This window comes from Homo sapiens, chromosome 6, assembly GCF_000001405.40.
Source record: "Homo sapiens chromosome 6, GRCh38.p14 Primary Assembly".
NCBI classification, from domain to species: Eukaryota; Metazoa; Chordata; class Mammalia; order Primates; family Hominidae; genus Homo; species Homo sapiens.
In genome coordinates, this window is record NC_000006.12 from 47,879,949 (window position 1) to 47,902,171 (window position 22,223).

General features: G+C 37.3%; 1 protein-coding gene across 9 annotated transcripts in view; it reads right to left on the reverse strand.

Annotated features, from left to right (window-relative positions):
* PTCHD4 (patched domain containing 4) overlaps positions 1–22,223 on the reverse strand; it is a 254,525-nt gene that overhangs the window by 23,276 nt on the left and 209,026 nt on the right. The window contains exon 3 of one of the 9 annotated variants that reach the window (NM_207499.2): positions 19,661–21,987. The exons of 7 other annotated variants lie outside the window; for them this stretch is intronic. In NM_207499.2, the coding sequence (NP_997382.2) occupies positions 21,959–21,987 (29 nt within the window). In that variant the 3' untranslated portion in view covers positions 19,661–21,958. Of the gene's footprint in view, positions 1–19,660; positions 21,988–22,223 lie in introns of those variants that run through there. One more of the 9 variants, NM_001410910.1, reaches the window with a different exon arrangement.

Below are 22,223 nucleotides of genomic sequence, written 5' to 3' on the forward strand. Positions count from 1 at the left end.
AAAAAGAAAATAATAATTATTTTTATTTCCTCCTATGGCTCAAGTGAATTCCTTATAGTTTATCTATGCTAAATGGCACTTTATACTCTAATCTTCAAAGGGCTGTGATCCTCCTATCAGGGCCTCAAAAGTTGAGTTATGGACAGGATACATTTGGTCCCTGTTTCACTTTAGCAAAGCCCAAATTTATTGATATTCTGGGAAAAATGAAACATGTATTGTCTGTTCTATCAATGTGACAAGTTGTAAATATAATGTTACGTTATTACATGATGTTTTTCCCCTGAACACATATTGTCTTCCTAAATAGACAGTTTTGTCAACGGCAGGGGCCGTTATTTGTGCGCCTTCAAATGACCCTTAACATCATGTCAAGTGCTTGGTTAACTGATTCATTGACTGACAGTTCCTAACTTTTGTTTCAAGCTGATTTATATGCTGATTTAGGAAATTATAAAAGTATGTTAAACACTTAAAAATGGCTCTAAACTGATTTTATAATGTTGATAATCTCCTTGGTGGCCAAATGGCTTAGAAACCAATTTCCAAAGAGTTGATTAATTAGCTCCGGATGTGAGTTTTTAAAAAAAAAATCTGCCACGTCACATAAAAGACAGGGCAAGACCTTCGGGGTGAAAAATCTTAGCAAGCACTTCCTTTGGGCTCCTCATAGAGCTCTGATTCACGTGAGATGGATGCTGACTAAATGCTTTTGACTGCTTCGTTAAAGTGAATGAAGAATACTTGTTTTAAACCAATGTTTGTGTCCCTTTTGATAAGAGTAAGTAGGCAAAAGGCTTAGTCAACACATATTACTTGAACACCCAGTGTATGCCAGACTCTGGTAGCTACTGAGCTGTAATTTTGAGGAATTTCATAGCTCTTAAGATACTACCACTTTTTTACTAGCAAAAGGAGAAAGCAGCTGAGTAAACAAAGGTATTATACTATATCTGCAATTTCCCCTTTTTTCACTTCCCTGAATTGGACCTGTCAATGACCATCCATAATATATCAATTGGTAGCTTTCTGAGTGAGTGGAAATCTTCATAGATCACTCTTGCCCTTGTGGGCATAGCAATACTACATAGGAACCTTTTCTGTGAATGGATACAAGCTGTGCTTGGGCTGTTCTCCAAGGAATCCATTAGACAAAGACATAGCTGAAAGGCACAAAATCAACTAGTTTATGAAAACCTGGAAAAAGGACTTAAATGTGGCACTTAGATATTGGAGTTAGGTGTTACAAACTTAATTTACTTAGTAGTGCTTTAACAAAGATGTGATAGCTGGGGTCTTACTGCAATTGCTCTGAAATTGCATTGCCGATAGCTTTTGCTAACTGACCTGTATAATTCCTCCCTTTCTTTTATTTGAGACTACAATGTACATACTTGAAAATATTATTTCCCAGCCTAGTTTTCAACTAGAGGTGTTTCATGTGACATAGTTCTGGACAATGCAATGTAACTGAAGGTCATCTAAGGATGCTTGTTAGAAAACCAGAGGGCATTTTGTTTGAAATAGTATAATGAAGCCACTGGGATGAGATCTTGTCTGCCTCCTTTTGGAATTCTCTTCTAAGAAAACCAAATCTTGGCTAAGCCATTGTAGGTAACGCTGTTACTTGCAGCTGAATCCATTCCTAACCAACAATGTTTCCTAGGTCAGTTAACATTTACCAAAACCTCTTTTAAGATGATCTAAGAATTCTTGCTTCATAGTTAATTTGACTATAGTATTTACAGACTTAAATGTATATAATGCAAATATTTGATTTTTAAAGACACATTGGCCAAACTTTTGGTAGTTTTTATCAATTATTAATAGCTACTAAAGGAAGCTAGGCATTGGAATTCTTTTTACCGCTAATGTAAAGCCTATTTATTCTTCAAAGCTGTCTCTTACGGGTCTCCAATCAGGAAAGATGAGTTTATCATAACAAGTAGAAAGGTTCGTGTAAACTGCATTTAGGAAAAGGCACGTTTTTTTCATTTGGAGGTCATGAACTGTTCCTTCTTGCATTTTATCAGGAGCTCAACATATGTGTATTACATTTAGTCTAATGATTCTTAACAATGTTAATTGTTCATTCCTATCTTCGGCAAAACTCCTTGAAGAGACAGAATACAGTACTTGCTCTATTATTCCCTTGACTAAAATACAATGTTAGAATAAGGGTTAAGGTAATTAAAATAATTCTTTAATGAGAGCATCTCTCTTCAGAAATGAGGACTCCTGCTATCTTTGTAGTCACAAGGTGGGGAAAGGCTACATAGAGCTACAGCTAAATTTGGCTTGCCTTTGATAGTGGTCATTTTTATGGAACATTAGGTACACTATGTAGGCCAGATTTTTGCTTTATGTAGTACAAAGGCCTGTAGGTGTAGGAAGATGATACTAAACCATATTAGATTAGGTAATCACTTTAAATGTGGTCGAGACTGAAAATACAATTTCCAAACTTTGTTTGGAGATGGCGTGTTTTATCCCACTCATATGTTTAGATATTTTATAGGATTTTCCTACTGATATTCACTCATTTGACTGTCACAATAATCTGCCCATTTTCTAGCAGTTCAAATGTATTGCCTGCTCCAGTCAAGGTAACTCTTTCACTGCCCTGTGTGCATGTTCCTCATTAGTCTTATCTTCTTAGCTTTGTTTATGTTATTTTCTGTCCCTTAAAATACTTTCCTCAATTCTGGTCATATTAAAATTCTATTCATTGGTCTGTTAAGGGTCAGTTAAAGTCTCCTATTTGCTATGAATCCATTTCTAATGATTCCAGTGATATATATATATATATTCCTTAAATTTTTATTGCCCTAACTAGTCACTCATTTTGGCCCACAACCATGTGCTGTTTTGCTCTGGAATTAAATGGTTTTCTCAAGATATGTTCTATCTCTTGGTTGGATTGCAAATTCTTCATGGCTAGGGAATGCATTTTATCTTACTTTTATACTCTGCAGGACATCTGGTAAAGTGATAGATGCCCAAAAGATGCCCATTAACTTCTTTTTGAATTAAATAAACTATAATTCTTGATTCTAGATGGGTCCAAAAATAGATCTTTTTATTACTTATTCTAAAATTTATTATACATCTTTGTACCTATATAAATATCGATTGTATCCAGAAGAGCTATATACTATTTACTTTCATTCAATGCAATATATATTTATTTAGAGTTTGTTATATAATAACTTTTGCTAGCCGATATATAAGATATAAGGGTAAACAAGGAACACAATCTTTTTCAACAACTGTCCAGAAAGTCATTTTCACTTAAGTAATTCTGAGACCAAGATTATAGCTTCTAATGCAACTGCTTTAAAAATAGGGATATATACCTAAAAAATTATATTGGCACTTGTAACAAAGCCATCAATACTTCTCTAAAAATAAAGAAGCAAGAGCATGAATAAAGAAGAGAATATGTCAGAGTGAGTTTTCTTTTTGTAGATGTTACTTCTATTGTCGTATAATGAGAAAATATACTACTGTGAAAACAGCATAATTATTTATTTTAAGTTCCTGCTAATGCATTTAGAATGTCTATATTTATTAAAATGCTAGATATTACTAGGATTTTAGACTTTAAAATAACTTTAATTAATTAATATGAAATAACTGTGTATAGTATCAATGGAATTAATTGTATGGAGAGATAAAAGTTTAATAAAAGTTTTATTTGTTTAATCCAGGGTTTCCCAACTGGGCACTATTGACACTTTGGGCTGGATAATTCTTTATTGTCGGGGACTGTCATGAACTTTGGAGGATGTTTAGCACCATTCCACTACCCACTAGATGCCAGATGCACACCCCACAGTTATAACAACCAAATATTTCTTCAGACATTGTCAAATGTTGCCTGTGGGGCAAATTTGGCTTCAATTGAAAATTATTGGTTTAGTCAAAAGAAAAAGAAATAATATACTCACTCATACACACACATACTTAATTATCTGTTTCTGATTATAAAATCAGGATACATTTCCATGGAAAATTTGGGAAAGATGAAAAATAGTGGTGAAACAAATTATTCCAGAATCCCGTAACACAGAAAACTGCTGTTAACAACTTCAAGAATTTATTCCAGTCATTTGTTTATTTATCTTCCAAGCTTATGTATGTATGTGTGTGTGTGTGTGTGTGTATGTATGTATGTATATATTCATTTATGTATCTACCCATCTGTTCAGATAGGTAACTACCTATATAACTAATTCAAAGAACTGGATTGCTACCAACCAAAAATTAGAATTTAGGATTACTCTTGCAACTCTGTCCAGATGCCAATCAACCATGGAGAGTCTGTTTTCCAATTTCTGCAGTGTTTTCTGTCTTTGTTTCTTACTTTTCACTTTGGTTTCCATTCTGAGGCTGGAACCATTTTTCGAGCATCTGCTCTCTTGAAAGAAGCCCCAATTTTCTCTTTAGCTTTTTCTAATAGTATTTTATTCCCTGCAGTTCCACCCTTACTCAGAGATTCTTAATCCAATTCAAGTAATCCACCTCAAACTGATGCACCAGTGTCCACCCCAAAGACACTGGTGGCCCACCAATTCAGGTGATGCATGGATCACATATAAATGTGACATGCCCCACTGAATGATGATTGGAACTACATTATATTATTTCCCAGTACCCAGTCCTAACTGTTCTTTGAGTCTGTCCCATTTTCCCACCAAAATCTTTAATTCTCACCTGAGGCCACTGCTTGTTTTAAGAACAACTCCATTCAAGTTCTGGACTTGTTTTACATGCAGTTACCTAATATATAAAGAGGAATTTTGTTCTTACTAAGTAGGGCTGTATGCTGTGTACCATGAAAATGCGGCTGATTCTTCCTGAGGGATCAGGGAAAGCTTCAAAAGGTTTAGGCAGAGGATGATGTTAATGACAGTTTAGGCTGATGGGATAACATGAATAGAGACAAAAACCCCTGTAAACTATGAAGAGGTAGTTGTGTGTTTAAAGTTTATAATTGTTATTTTTTTTCCCTCAGTAGAGATTAGCTCACTGCTATAGCGAGCTGGTATACTATTGTCCACAGTATATTTTTGATTTATGTTCCAAAATCTGACTGCCACACTTTGGTCATGATTTCCCTGAATTACATTAGTATATATTTGCACACTGCATTAGATTAATATAATAAGTAACTCACTCGGGACATTATTAGATGACTAATATTTCCTTTAGCACAGTTTTTTGAAATAAAAGAGAGAGTTCTTAAGGGTAAAAAAGAGTTGGACAGAGGAAAAACTGGGAGAAAAATTCAAGGAGGGAGATGAATAGAAATAATAAGGGGGTGTGTGTGTGTATTGAGTACTCCACAAGTCTGATGGGATGCTGATGGGGAGCTCTCTTTCCAAATGAAAGCAATTAGAAGCATGGTGTAACAATAAGGAAAACCTACATGGCAGCTTGCTAACATGCCCCCATTTAACAATGATTTGGTAAGTTCTGCTATTTGCAATTGAGCCACATGAAAAAGATAAAGATCATGAAGGTTCTTCATGGTCATGGTCGTGCAGGTCTGCCAGAGTGAATATTTAAGTGTTTTTAAATTAAAAAAAAATTATTGTTACCAAACAAAACTGATACCAGTCCTCAGTGAGGTGGGGAGCACTCAGAACTGGTTATAATTCCGTTTGAGCTTCTAGTAATCATTCTCCAACAAATAAAGATGACTTCTAAAGTAAGATGGTTCTTCTCTGAGAAACAGCTCCAGCCTTCCTTTAAGAACATTTTTTCCAAACTCCTACTCTTCTAATGTAAGCTTCCATATTGTAATTGCATCTAACATTGCTGTAGGAAAACTCTCTGGTGACGTAGTTAGGCCTAAAGAGAAGTTTTTCTTTTTTCTTTTTTTTGAGACGGAGTCTCACTCTTTCACCCAGGCCATAGTGCGGTGGCGAGATCTCAGCTCCCTGCTACCTCTGCCTCCCGGGTTCAAGTAATTCTCCAGCCTTAGCCTCCTGAGTAACTGAGATTACAGGCACCTGCCACCACACCTGGCTGATTTTTGTATTTTCAGTAGAGATGGGTTTTGCCACATTGGCCAGGCTGGTCTCAAACTCCCGACCTCAAGTAATCTGCCCGCCTCGGCCTCCCAAAGTGCTGGGATTATAGGCGCGAGCCACGGCGATGGCAAGATTTTTTTTTTTTTTTTTCCCAGAGCAATGTTGTTCTATAAATCCAATATCATTTTTACAGTTGCCATTTTAATCCTACACTCAATCTCTCCAAAACCTACAATTCCAAAGAAAATACTTTTAACGAGGATGAAATTCAATTGGAACTAATTGTAACTGACTCAATTAATGCTCTCTACTGAGTTTTTCTTTGCTATGTTGCTTTAATAAGCATGATCTGTGGGTTTCTAGTTTATTTTAATCAGCAGAATTAGAATTCTCATTTGCCTTCAGAAGACATACTGGTGGGTTTTCCTTTTCACTTGAACATGCTAATCAAGATATGAAAGCTTGACACCGATATGAGAGACGTAAGAAATAGAGGTTAAAAAAAAATACTCCTTTTTATGACCTGTTCCAAAGAAAGCTTACTACTTTCCCTTAGAAGTTATTTCTTCATTTGGTTAGCTACACTTTCAATAATTGTGTTTGTGAAAATCACCCCCGATCGTGACATCCCAATGCCAACTAAATGAATGAATAATGAATAAAAAAAATAAAACCACAATCAACTGAAAACTCAGTCCAGCAAAGCAGATGCAAAAAAGTCTGGATAATACATCAGTATTTTAAGTTATTGTTCACTTCTTTGGCATTATGTGGGATCATTTATCCATTGTTCCTTCTCTTTAGCTGGCTGATTCCTACTTAGCATGTTCTCAAGCATAATCTCACCACTCGAACATGCGTGATCTCTAACACTTTCCGCTTGCCCTACTCACCCGCATTCCACCAACTTAGACATCTCTGCCCTGTATTCCAACCCAAATCACAGTACTTACTATACGCTAGACTGAGATTGCCCGTTGGTGGGCCCATCTTTTAGCCAGTCCAGAAACTCTTCACTGGCCAGGTTAGGCACTTGCCTTTTTCACTTTTGTATATTAATTATTGGCTTATGGTAAATGCTCAATAAATGTTTTTAAAACTGAATTGGCCATGATCTACATGTAGAAATTTTAAAGATATTTGAACACATTCTTCTTGTAATAGTTATTATTGTAATGATACTTACTAGATTAACAATAATAGGTATAATCTATATAAATATATTAATTTATATTTAATATATTTTATGTAATTTACTCTATACATTTTTAATAGAATTATTTTATATAACTTATAAAATTTATTGAGGAATTAAATATAAATTATAACTTTAATAATAATAAATGTTACTATTTATCATTAGTTCTTACAATAATTATTATTAACAGCCCTATATTCAGCAATGGGTTTTGTGAAATAGATATTATTTGCCTCATTTTACTGAGAAGGAAACTTGCTGAGTGTCACCCAGTGATTCTGAATTTTTCTCCCATTTCCTCCTCTGTTCAGTTCACATTGACAGAGGTGGAAATAGATGTCAATTATACCTAATTGGGAAATTAGCATATTATTCATTAATTTGGCTGGTTCAGGATTATGGATATCTAACAGAGAATGGAATATGAAATGAAATTACTTGTTCTATGTTGTTCTTTGACAGGGTAGAAACAGGTTCATAAGACACTCCTTTTGCCTGAGAGATGATGAACTCTTTAGATATTTTCTAATCCCCATAATGTCTAGTCTTGAGGTGATGATCAGTGTGTATTTGTATACTGACTGCTTCTAATTTAGTATCATCTAAAGTAAATAGATGATTATCAAGCCCCAAAGGTTGCTCAATTTATACAATGGCCAAAGCTTCTACCTCTTGGTTCTTATATAGCCCACAAAGGGTAGGGGGTGTTTAACAGGAATTCTCTAAGCTGCTACTGCCAGGGACATGTATGATGGTTTTACCTGGAAACCTTTGATAATGTTGTTCAATGAGGGAGGGCCTCGCTTTATCTTGTCCTTAAGCAAGAAGTGACTTCACTTGAAATATTCCCATCCCAGTACAGAATGAGTCAGAGTAAAGAGCAGAGAGTAGGGACGGGCATGGTGGATCAAGCCTGTAATCCCAGTACTTTGGGAGGCCGAGGCAGGTGGATCACAAGGTGAGGAGATCGAGACCATCCTGGCTAACATGGTGAAACCCCGTCTCTACTAAAAATACAAAAAATTAGCCGGGTGTGGTGGTGGGCGCCTATAGTCCCAGCTACTTGGGAGGCTGAGGCAGGAGAATGGGGTGAACCCGAGAGGCGGAGCTTGCAGTGAGCCAAGATAGCGCCACTGCACTCCAGCCTGGGCGACAGCGCGAGACTCAGTCCCCAAAAAAAAGAGTAGATGGGAAAAGGAGCAGAATATTGCAAAGAAAAGAGGAAATAATTATGAGCATGAACAGACACTCAGTCCTTAGCACTCAGGAGGTTACAGGATTTTATTAGGTCTCTAATAAGAAAAAATAAAACTTAGTAGCAGATTCTCATTGTATAATTTTCAGAGCAGTTGTATATTTTATATATATATCTTAGTGTATAGATAAAAGACATATAGTCTCATCCAGAGTTTGCATTCAGTCATTTTGACAATTTATTTTGTAGTTTTTTGTTTGTTTGTTTGTTTTTGTTTTTGTTTTATTATTATTATACTTTAAGTTTTAGGGTACATGTGCACATTGTGCAGGTTAGATACATATGTATACATGTGCCATGCTGGTGCACTGCACCCACTAACTCGTCATCTAGCATTAGGTATATCTCCCAATGCTATCCCTCTCCCCTCCCCCCACCCCACAACAGTCCCCAGAGTGTGATATTCCCCTTCCTGTGTCCATGTGATCTCATTGTTCAATTCCCACCTATGAGTGAGAATATGCGGTGTTTGGTTTTTTGTTCTTGCGATAGTTTACTGAGAATGATGATTTCCAATTTCATCCATGTCCCTACAAAGGACATGAACTCATCATTTTTTATGGCTGCATAGTATTCCATGGTGTATATGTGCCACATTTTCTTAATCCAGTCTATCATTGTTGGACATTTGGGTTGGTTCCAAGTCTTTGCTATTGTGAATAATGCCGCAATAAACATACGTGTGCATGTGTCTTTATAGCAGCATGATTTATAGTCCTTTGGGTGTATACCCAGTAATGGGATGGCTGGGTCAAATGGTATTTCCAGTTCTAGATCCCTGAGGAATCGCCACACTGACTTCCACAATGGTTGAACTAGTTTACAGTCCCACCAACAGTGTAAAAGTGTTCCTATTTCTCCACATCCTCTCCAGCACCTGTTGTTTCCTGACTTTTTAATGATTGCCATTCTAACTGGTGTGAGATGGTATCTCATTGTGGTTTTAATTTGCATTTCTCTGATGGCCAGTGATGATGAGCATTTTTTCATGTGTTTTTTGGCTGCATAAATGTCTTCTTTTGAGAAGTGTCTGTTCATGTCCTTCACCCACTTTTTGATGGGGTTGTTTTTTTCTTGTAAATTTGTTTGAGTTCATTGTAGATTCTGGATATTATCTACAACTATCTGATCTTTGACAAACCTGAGAAAAACAAGCAATGGGGAAAGGATTCCCTATTTAATAAATGGTGCTGGGAAAACTGGCTAGCCATATGTAGAAAGCCGAAACTGGATCCCTTCCTTACACCTTATACTAAAATCAATTCAAGATGGATTAAAGACTTAAATGTTAGACCTAAAACCATAAAAACCCTAGAAGAAAACCTAGGCATTACCATTCAAGACATAGGCATGGGCAAGGACTTCATGTCTAAAACACCAAAAGCAATGGCAACAAAAGACAAAATTGACAAATGGGATCTAATTAAACTAAAGAGCTTCTGCACAGCAAAATAAACTACCATCAGAGTGAACAGGCAGCCTATAAAATGGGAGAAAATTTTCGCAACCTACTCATCTGACAAAGGGCTAATATCCAGAATTTATTTTGTAGTTCTATGTAGTATAAAAAACTTAAAGATCCAGTGTATGTGTGTATATATATATATGTGTGTGTGTGTGTGTTTGTGCATATATACAGATATACACCCATATCACATACGTATACACACATATATGCATATATAGTATATGTGTGTGTGTTTATGTATGCATGTGTGTCTGTGTGTGTATATATGTATATTTGTCAATACACCTAAATTTGTATGTTTTTATATATATTATATATATATATGGAGAGAAAAAGTGAGAAGAGAAATAGCAATAGAGATGGGAGATGGGGATGCCCTAAAACTTCTTGACAATTGCAGTCAAGATTTTCATACTCAAAGTGGGCCAAACTTGGTAATTAACACGATTTGATATTGTAGTTAGTAGCAAATTCCCCCAGAACAGACTGCTTGTGTTTAAATCCCATATCTCCTACTTCTGAGATCTGTGACCTCAGGCCGTTTTTGTAAGCCTCCACGTATCTGTTTCCTCATCTGTAAAAAAGGGTGACAGTGAGATGTACCTCATGGGATTGTTAGGCGTTTTAGATAAGTTAGTACATGTGCTTGGAACACAGTAAGTGCTACATTGAATGGAAAAGCACAGTGCTGCCAACTGCAGGACGACTGTCATGGAGAACGTTCCAAATTGTTGGACTTGGAATGCCAACTTCTGAATGCAGCTTGGTTACTGATGTCTTTACTGCCCCAGCTGAGTTGGCTTTGTAAGGGGGGGGATTCCCGGAGCTCTCTTTTCAGCTTTCCTTGCTGCAGGGCCTTGGTGCTGCCAAAAGATGAAGCACCACTGCAGAGCCAGCACACACAGGATGGCTTGCTTTCCTGCTCTCTCTCTTTCCCTGCTAAATAGCCACTATCAGGAAGTTTTCAATTTTTTTCTCTGTACCTTCCATGCTTTTCAAGTTTTCGAAAATGAATATGGGCCGTTCACTGTGGCTCACACCTGTAATCCCAGCACTTTGGGGGGCTGAGGCTGGTGGATCACTTGAGGTCAGGAGTTTGAGACCAGCTTGGCCAACATGGTGAGATCTTGCATCAACTAAAAAAAAAAAAAAAAAGTACAAAAAATTAACTGAGTGTGGTGGCGCATGCCTGTAATCCCAGCTACTTGGGAGGCTGAAGTGGGAGGATTGCTTGAACCTGGGAGGTGGAGGTTGCAGTGAGCTGAAACCATGCCACTGCACTCCAGTCTGGGTGACAGAGTGAGACTGTGTCTCAAAAAAAAAAAAAAAAAAAAAAGATTGAGGAAAGAAATGCAGCCTCTGAGGGCTGGGTGCTGTCAAGTAGGCCATGGTGCTGCCAGGAGTTGTTCTGGCACTCCCAGCTGTGTTGAGTGTTATCTTCTCGACCACAGACAACCTCGCAAAACAGCATCAGACAAGGCCATTCTGTGACCGGCATGAACCGAGACAAAACGAGACCCCTCCATAATCAGAACCAAATCTGAAAAAAACACAAACATTGCCCAAAACGTAAAATGGACTAAATCTCTTCCTTTCAAAAGTGGTAGTGGTAATTGGCCCTCCTTTACCAATCACGGCTTACCCTTACTCTAGTATTTTCTCCATCTAGGTATAATAATTACTAAGATAACTATTATTAAGATAACCAGTCATAGAACTACCCTCTCTTCTTGACAGTAAACAACCATGCTCCCTTGAATTCTCTTCCAAATCATCTAACATTTGCAACAGTCATATAAGTCCATTTTAATACCTTCTTCCTAAAATACTCCATGGTCCCCGATGGCGTGGGTTTTTCCTCATTGTAATTAGTCAATAAACCTAAATGTGTTCAATGATAGTAGTATTCTTGGTGGTCTGGCTGGAGGATGCTGGTATTTTATAACAAATATTTTTGGAAAATAAAATGCACTAAAACTTTTGTTGTCATTGCTGATTTATAAGTAAGTTTCATTTGAGTATAGGAGTTATAACAGGAACATTGGGTGAGAGTTAAGCCCAGAAGGATTTGAATATCCAAACCATGCCACCACTAAAAGGGATGGCTTCCTGGTAATATGTTAGTTGTGTTATCACTGAAAAGAGAATGCCAGTTGGGCATATGAGAAGTGGGAAGTTATTTTGAGAAGATGATAACATGAATATTAACATAGGAGGAGGGAGGAGGAGCCATGTGGAACTAAAAATTCATTGCTTTAGGCAGAGAAGAGCAATGAATGGAATAATCTGGAGTGGGGCTGAAAATCTTACAATGGTCAAGAGGAAGGAATTGGTAGTTTATAAACTAAATACAAGCATATACTTTAAAAATTAAGACCTAGAATAAAAAAGAAAATAATAAATACAAGAACTTGCAGAAATAACAATTATGACAATCTTATCATTTGTTGAGGGATCATTTAGGGAATAAAAATTAATTCTTTCATTTGAAGGACATTTCCTGAGTGCTGCCCGGTAAGATATGGTAAAATGTCATCACTTTAAAGTTTAATAACTTCTTTTTGTCCCATTTGAAAACCATATCACATCCATATGCCTGAATTTAACAGTTCATTAATTGCAAGCTCTGGAGATCTTTTATCCTATAAAGAGTAAAATGGATGCTGACTTAGGATTTTTACAATAGCAAAAGCTGGAGAATGTTTTTAAAATGTCTGATTCAATCATTAGGATGTATTTATGAAATGGAAGGACTCTTACTTTGCAAACTTAGATTATGCACAGCTTTGATTTCTACTAAATATGATTCAAGAGAAAAATCTTCAAAGCTGTAGCACAGATGCTTGATAAAAGCATAATGCTTCAAAGGACAAGTTTTAAGGGGCATCCCTGAATGTTTTGTGGCCTTTCTTCCCAATGAAGATGAAATAAAAACATTCCACAGCTGGATTTTTTTCTGAACAGAATGCCCTGAAGCCAATGGAAAACCAGTTAACCCAAAAGTTCAGGAATGGGATGATTCTGATCATTGGAATAGTCATTAAATTAATCAACCAGAACTTCCTTTTTGATTCAACTCTGATTGGTTGATTAACTTTATTAGAGATCTTTTTATTTTTTTTGAGATGGACTCTCGCTCTGTCACCAGGGTGGAGTGCAGTGGTGCGATCTTGGCTCACTGCAACCTCTGCCTCCCGGGTTCAAGCGATTTTCCTGCCTCAGCCTCCCGAGTAGCTGGGACTACAGGCGTGTGCCACCACGCCCAGCTAATTTTTGTATTTTTAGTAGAGATGGGGTTTCACCATGTTGACCAGGATGGTTTCTATCTCTTGACCTCATGATCTGTCCACCTCAGCCTCCCAAAGTACTGGGATTACAGGCGCGAGCCACAACGACCAGGTTGTAGAGATTTTTCTAAAATGTGTTAGACTTTTGTTCCTCTTCTGTATCTAGTCCTGACAAAAAGAAAAGGTTGTATGTGTAGCAACTAAAAAGATGCACTGTGGAGTCAGGCATTTTGGTCCCAGTTCTGGCTCCATATATTGAATAATATACTTTGGAGTCATCATTTTATCATGCATTAATAATCAAGAGGCAATATGGTATATGAGTCAAGGCATCAGGCTATGTGGGTTTACATTTCTTCACTACCATCTATTAGATGGACAAATGAACTACTCCATGGCTCGATTTGCTAACCTGCAAAATGGAGAGAATAACAGTATCTGCTTCAAAGACTTGCTGTGTTAAATGAAACACAGATACATGAGTCCCTTAGTACAAATATCTGGTACACAATTACTGTGCTCCCTTAAATGTTAACTATTACTGAGTAATATTATATAGTTGTAGCAGCATAGGAATTTAAGTTGAATGTGTACCAGGCCTAGAGCAGAGTTTTAAAGTTTTCTTCTCTGATTATTTTGAAATTTGTCTTTTTTGTCTTTAGAAGTTAATTGTGGAAAAATGCTGATTAACAAAGGGTTTAGTTAATTGGATTAAACTAATTGAGGCATTCCTTATATGTATGTTCTTATTCAGAATAAGCTGAGTTGTTTTCATTTGGTAGGGTGAAGCTGAAAAAGAGCTTTCTCATCTCTAATTTATTCTGCAAATAACAGCAAACCATTCACACTCAGGAGGAGAACACGGTTGAGTTGCTGGGCAGCCAGCTGAGTTCTATCAGCCCATGGGGCAGGAAGACCCTTGCCAGAGGACTCTCTCAGAAATGGCAGGAGCAGGAGTCAATTGAACTTATTCCTGATGAGTACAGTACAGGCTTCCTTTCAAATGGAAAAGGCCCTCTTCTCACCACAGTTTGCTGCAATCAGTCCCCTTTCAGCAGTCCACAGCTTAGCCTTGGCCTTATTACAACATAAATTTATAAACAGAAGTTCTTTCAAAAAATATTTGATGTTAATTCTTGAAGTCAGGGAATTGAGGATAGCAGGTGGGGAAGATAGCAACACGGCAGAGGGGTCTGGAGCACCAGCTCTGGTTTTTATGCCAGGTTCAGTCCCCATCTGTGTTACTTCCCAACTAGATAACCTTCAACAAGAAACTGCTCCATGTAGTCTTCCTCATATGCAAGACAAAGAATGCAAACTCCTATCTTACTGTGTTGCTGAGAACAGTAAACGAGATAATCTGTATAATGTGCCCTTGGCACTTACTAAACATTCAATAAATGTTAGCCATCATTTTTATTTATGGATGAACATTCATTTGGGGTCTTGGCTATATACTCACAGTATATCAAAATACATTTCTAAGATTCATTCTTGAAGCTATCAGTAGAAATGAAGTCAATCATGATAACATGCCAGAACATTTATTGCTCTCTTGTGATAAATTTTATTCTTTCTTTCCATCTTGATAATGTCCATGGACTTCGTCCTGCTCATTTGCATTAGGCAAAGATTCATCAAGAAAGAATAATAAGGGCTGGGTGTGGTAGCTCATGCTTGTAATCCCAGCACTTTGGGAGGCTGAGGCAGGTGGATCATCTGAGGTCAGGAGTTTAAGTCCACCCTGGCCAACATGGTGAAACCTCGTCTCCACTAAAAATACAAAAAAATTATCTGGGCATGGTGGTGCATGCCTGTAATCCCAGCTACTGGGGGAGGCTGAGGCAGGAGAATCGCTTGAACCCATGAGATGGAGGTTGCAGTGAGCTGAGATTGTGCCACTCCACTCCAGCCTCGGCGACAGAGTGAGATTCTGTCTCAAAAAAGAAAAAAAAAGAAACAATAATAAAAACAGTCAAATGAAGACCCATGCAGACAGCTAAGATGATAAAATAGCTAACTGGACCCCAGGGAAAGATGAGCTTGGCCACGTGACTACCAGAAAGTTTAGACAAATGATCTGAAGGTTTCTAAACCTATATAAAAACTCTAGGGTTTTTTTCAGTAGTTACAGAACAAAATAAAACAGGTCCACATTGTTTCTTTTCAGACCATATTCACTTATAATTGACTGACAACAACCTAGGTTTCAGAAATTTTAAATAATGAGCTGATAAAAGCATGTTAGCAGCTTGTAAAATTTATCTCTTTGATACTCACTGAGATTTCTCAAGAGGTAGATTAGTTAACATTGACATGGGAATCTTCAATAAGATAGCCTGCCTTTCAAATAAATCAAACAACTAATCAGCAGATATTAATTAAACACCTACCATATGCATAATCATGGTGCTACATGAGAGCACATTCAACTTTTTCTCTAACATATGTATCCTCCTTCCACGTGCCCAACAAGTACATAAGTTGCACAGATATTTTCTAGAATTTGGAAAGTTCTTCCATATTTAGAGTTGGAATTCATCATCTTAAATTTCCAAAATTTGCTCCCAGTTGTATCCTCGTATGCCAAGTATTTTGCCACATACCCATACTTCGAATACTGGAGATAGTAGCATGGTATGTTCCTTCTACTCCAGGTCAATCATCTCATTACTTTAACTTTTACTCAGATGATGTCTGCATAGGATTCCATTTGGAGTATCATATAGCAATGAAAATGCCTTGAAACCAAAGCCTGTGCCTTTGATTTGCCCCTCAGCACCTAGCAGTGTCATGCGGATAGTGGGCACTAAACAAATACTTTTGAATCTAGTGCTAAGATGTTTTGTAGATAAACTTGTTAAGCTCAAAAGCAGACTGAGGTTTTGGGGAGAAGTAGATGATAACCCCTGTGATCATCTCTTAACTACAGTTAAGGAAGATGGCAGAGAGATGAACATTTACCTGCTGTGAATTGTTATACTTCTTTCATTTTCTGTACTGTAGTGGGTAGTGACACTGTCTTCTAATGTGATGATTGAGATGATTTCTGTGACAAATGTGGTCCAGTCAGTACTGTACAAATTCTGTCTTCACCAACGGTGGAGGTCCTCAAAGGAAAGAAACCCGTTTCTCTCTTATGAGGCAGAGTATCCTAACAATTCTTTTTGGATAAGTTTACTGAGTCTATGAATGAACTAATAAATGCTTTAAAAAAATAGGTTTTCTCTGCCACATTGCTGTTTTCCATGAAGAAGGGTTATTTTGATTTGCTAGTGGAGTTGCCTGCCGCTTCAATGCTGAGAAAAGATGTTACTACATGGAAATGTATACATGAAAATTATTTTCCATATTCAATTTTAGGAGTTAATCTTCCATGAAAATGTAAATACTCCTGAGAAGACTCACTTTATAAGCACAGTAGTTTTTTATTTCTTTGGGTGAATGAGTTTTTCATATTCTTTCCTAAGGTATTGATAAAGTAGGATAGGTACAAAGGAAGGACCCACTAAATGGGGAGATGTACACAAAGGGACCATGGAGAACACCGCTGTATCTGAATCCCATTAACTCTCTGTGAGGCAGGCATATTACACTCTCCTCTCATTTAATGGTTAAGAAATGGAGGCTTGGAAGAATCAGAGACATGCAAATGTACAGAGTTCTTTTGGTAGACACGACCAAAACCCAAATCGTCAGACTCTTACTCCAGTGTAAGGAGACTGATCTCCTTGAGGATCAGTCTTGAGGGCAATGACTGTGTCTTGCCATCATTACTGTATCATCTTTTCCTATGTCAGTACCTGGCACTCAGTAAATATTAGTTTTTTTTGTAAAATTGAGGAATGAATGTGTGCCTCTGAGCTCCCGTGTTTTCTGGTGTTCTAGTATTTTGAGGTGGAGATGATCGTTCCCTACTTCTTATGTTTCCATGAACTGGGGACCCCTACTCCACTTTCATTTGGGTAGTGTTAAAGAGAACATTTCTACTCCTTCTTTTCACTCTTTAACTATTCTTCTCCAAGCACTGGGAACTGCTGACCTGATGATGAGAGTCTGATAACACTTGCTGCAATTTATCAATAGGTTGGCTGCTATTCCTCTAAAACAGTAAGTAAGTGGAATCTCATTTCTCTCTCCTGCACTACTTGTATAACAGACAAGTAAGAAGCGCCAAGGCTTGCTCTCAGCTTTCTCATTCCATGCATGACGCAGTCCTGGACTTGTTTTGTAAAAGGATACCAGTCACCCGTCTCTTAACATTGGTCTCTGGCATTCTGTCTCCAACAGCAACTGAATTTATGAGGCAAACCACAGTCCTCCATGTACTTGGCTGCTAAGTAAATCCTGGGGAGGGAGATGTCATTAAGACCTAATTCTCCCTTCAGGTGAAGGAAGAAAATCTAGATTTTGGATTTGTTAGGTGGAGATTCCTACATTGGCTTCTGGTCCCAGATAAGGTCTCTATTCCAGCTTTACCAAGGACTTTGGGCAACACTGTGCTTTTATTTATAAGGATGACAGCTTAACTCTTATTTAGCTTCTTTGATGTATTCTCTACTACAAAAAGCCTAGCAAGGAGGAGAGTTGATTTATTGAGATGATGGATTGCCACACAATATCTATGTGATGACTAGTGAGAGTACATCTCTAACTTAATAGACATGCCATAAATATACCACATTGAAGCTGCGGTTTTTTATTCTATATCTGTTATCATTTCATCCTTTCTTTTTTCTTTCTTTCTTTTTTTTTTTTTTTTTTTTTTTTGAGACAGAGTCGCTTTGTTGCCCAGGCTGGAGTGCAGTGGCACTATCTTGGCTCACTGCACCCTCTGCCTCTTGGGTTCAAGCAATTCTCCTGCCGCAGCCTCCCGAGTAGCTGGGACTACAGGCGTGTGCCACCACACCCGGCTAATTTTTTGTATTTTTAGTAGAGACGGAGTTTCACCGTGTTAGCCAGGATGGTCTCGATATCCTGACCTCATGATCCACCTGCCTCGGCCTCCCAAAGTGCTGGGATTACAGGCGTGAGCCACTGCACCCAGCCATCATTTCATCCTTTCAAAACATCATTCTATATTCTAAAAACTGCATTTTAAACTATCATAATCCTGTCTCTAAAATTTTGGGTAACCTCCAGAGACTTGTTGTGTAATATTAATTTTTAAATTTCTGCATAAAAAGCACCACTTCCATTATTAGACCCGATCCTGTGCTTCTCAGTGATTTCCCATACACAGTAATTAGTCAAAACTGTTAAACATATACTGTGTTTAGGAACTTTACTTATTGAACAAGAATGAAAGCATGGGGCCAGCAAAAGACAATCTTATGAGTAATGCTGGAAATTCAGCAACAATTAAATGTTTACATGATACCACTCACATTTTTTCAAGGATTCTTGTAAATAAAGTAAACACAAAGACCTGAGCTAAGCAGCAATGAGTTGATCAGTTTGCTTGTGGTAAACTAGATAGGAGGATACTTCTACCTCCCAACTTGATGTAGACGACTTCTATTTAAAGGCAAAGTCACTTCAGAGAGACACGAATCCCTTGCAAGAGGAGAGAGGTCATGCCACCCGTGAGAAAATGAAAAGGTGTAAGAACAAAGGAAAGAGAGAGAAGGGGAAAGAAGAAAAGAGAGAAGAAGAAGAGAAGCAAGTGTCCTTTCTTTTTAGGTCCCTGCTGGTTTTGGGGACATTAGGTGTCAGATTCCCTCTGTTTCTCCAATGAGAGGGGTCATGCTCTCCCTGGAGAAAAATCCAGTGATTGGTTTTCATGAAGAAATGGAAGGCTTTCCTCTTACACTCTTCCTTCAGGGAGAAGACTAGAAGTATCCATAAGTGGAAAAGTATTTGCTCCTACCAGAGGCAAGGGATAGATACTAAAGCAGATACAGGTCTAGGAGAAACTCTTCTTCCAATAGCAAGTCTATAAAATATCACATCCGCCACAACTCCTGGGATTCTCACAGGAATTTTCCCATGTAATGCATAGTTAGATATTTCTTAGTTGCTCCTATCTTGGTCTTGCCCTTTCACTTATTTTGCCAACTCCATGAAATAACATCTGATGTCTCTTTTTTCCCAAATACCTGAGTTTTCACTGTACTATAATTATCACAGGTGCTTAGGACATGTTTTTGACAGATTGAATACAAATATTTCCCCTGATGGACACCAAATGAGACAGTATTTGTGAGATGGCTGTGGGAACAGTAATCCTTTATTGTGCTCCATAACATAGGTGGAATGTTGTATAGCTGTTGAAGATTCTTGAGTTTGAATTCATTTTATTAGGGACAGAAAATGAGTCTAGTGAGCAAGTATTTGCTGAAATAACTTTGCATGTTATCCTAATAAGGTTTGCAAATGAAGTAGAAAAAAAGAAATGGAAAGTGAACCCCTTCCGTTTGTTTTTAACAGCTTTATTGTGATATAATGCCAAGCAATTCATTGATTAAAAGTGTACAATTTAAAAGTTTCTAGTATACTACAAAGTTGTGCAATGATTGCCATAATCAATTTCAGAACATTTCATCAACCTGAAAGAACTTCTGTATCATTAGCAGTGACTCCATTCCCTGGCTTCATCCCCTAACCCACCAATCCTCAGCAACTACTCATCTACTTCCTGTCTCTACATATTTGCCTACTCTGAACATTTCATATATATAGAATCATGCAATTATGTACACTTTCATGACTTCTTTCACTTATCAAAATATTTTCAATGCTCATCCATATTGGAGCATGTATCAGTACTTGTTTCCTTTTTAATGGCTGAATAATATTCCATTGTATGCATATACCACTTTTTATGTTTCCATTCATCAGTTGATGGACATTTGGATTGTGTCTACCTTTTGCCATTATGAATAATATTGCTATGAACATTTGTACAGTTTTGTGTGGATAAATATTTTCATTTCTCTTGAGTATATACCTAGCAGTGGAATTACTGAATCAAAATGCTAATACTAAGTTTAGCATTTTTAGGAACTGTCAGACTATTTTCCAAAAGAGCTGCATCATTTACATTTTCATCAGCAATGTGTAAAGAGTTCCTAACCTACCTCATCAATACTTGTTATTGCCTTACTTCTTGATTTTAGTCATCCTAATGGATATGATGTGCTCAATGTGGTTTTGATTTGCATTTCTTTAATAACTAATTATTTTGAGCATTTTAAATATACTTTTGGCCACTTGTTTATCTTCTTAGAATAAATGTCTATTCGAATCTTCTGTCCACTTTGAAATTGGGTTGTGTTTTTATTATTAAGCTGTAATAGTCCTTTAAATATTCTGTATACAAGTCTCTTATAAGATAGATAATTTGAAAATATTTTCTCCCATTCTGTGAGTTTGTTTTTCACTTTCTTGATGGTATTCATTGAAGTACAACTTTTAAGTTCATTCTTTCTCCATTAAATATGATATTAGCTTTGGGTTTTTATGGATATCTGTATCAGATTAAGCAAGTTCCCTTCTATTACTAGTTTGTTGAGAGTTATTTTGTTGTCATAAAATGTTGTTAGAGTTTGTCAAATGCCCTTTCTTTGTCTATTGAGATGACCATGCGGTTTTTGACCTTAATTCTATTGATGGTATATTATGTTAATGATTTTCAAATGTTAAACCACTCTTGCATTTATAAAATAAACCTCATTTGGGCCGGGCATGGTGGCTCACGCCTGTAATCCCAGCACTTTGGGAGGCCGAGGCGGGTGGATCATGAGGTCAGGAGATCGAGACCATCCTGGCTAACAAGGTGAAACCCCGTCTCTACTAAAAATACAAAAAATTAGCCGGGCGCGGTGGCGGGCGCCTGTAGTCCCAGCTACTCGGGAGGCTGAGGCAGGAGAATGGCGTGAACCTGGGAGGCGGAGCTTGCAGTGAGCCGAGATTGCGCCACTGCAGTCCGCAGTCCGGCCTGGGCGACAGAGCAAGACTCCGTCTCAAAAAAAAAAAATAATAAAATAAAATAAAAATAAAAAAAAATAAAAATAAATAGAAATAAACCTCATTTGTTCATTGAATTTGGCTTGCTAGTATTTTATTGAGAATTTTTACACTCAAGTTCATAAAGTTATTAACCTGTAGTTTTCCTTCCTTGTGATGTTTTTGTCTGGTTTTAGTATCAGGGTAATATTTATCTCATAGAATTATTTGGGAAGTGTTCATTACTCTTTCCTTTAAATCTCAAACACGATAATTGTTCCTCCCTCTCACATATTGCCAGGTAACCTCCTTCATTTTATTTATAAATTACAGCACATCTAAACTTCATCAGTCAGTATTTAGGAAAGTACCTATATGATTGGAATCAATTTATTTTCATCACTAAACAGTACTTATAATGCTTCCATATGATTTAAACCAATTTAGTTTCCCATGAGAGGAGTCAGGTGGGAGATAGAAAAGACAGTATGGGTTACAGACACACAGCTGTTAAGCACAGGGAGGAAAGAAATACCTGGAGGATACTTAACCTCCAAAAAATAGAGGGCTGGGTTCTTAGACTAGAATGAACTCTCAGATTGCTCTGATGGTATTGGTGGTGATGATGATGATGATGACGATGATGATGATTTTATTGTATCCTAGGAGTCTTCACATATAATCTTCCAAATGTGATATTTTTCTCCTCTCCAGTTTTTTCTCTCCTTCCTTCTCTCCTTTCTTTCTTCCAAACTAAATTTGTTTCTAGCTTGAGGTAAATTCAGTGGAGATGCCTTAAAAATAGTATGAGCAAGTCAGTAACAAGAGTTATGTTATATTTCTAGCCTCACTCATATTTCCCACTTAGTATAGTAAAAACACTGGGGAACTGAAGAGTTATCACCATCATCAACAACAACAGCAACCACATAATAACCTGTCTGATTCTGGGTGAATCAACATCTTCATGTCCCTCTCACAATACTAGACTTTATGGATGTACTCCATTTTAAATACTATAAAATTACAT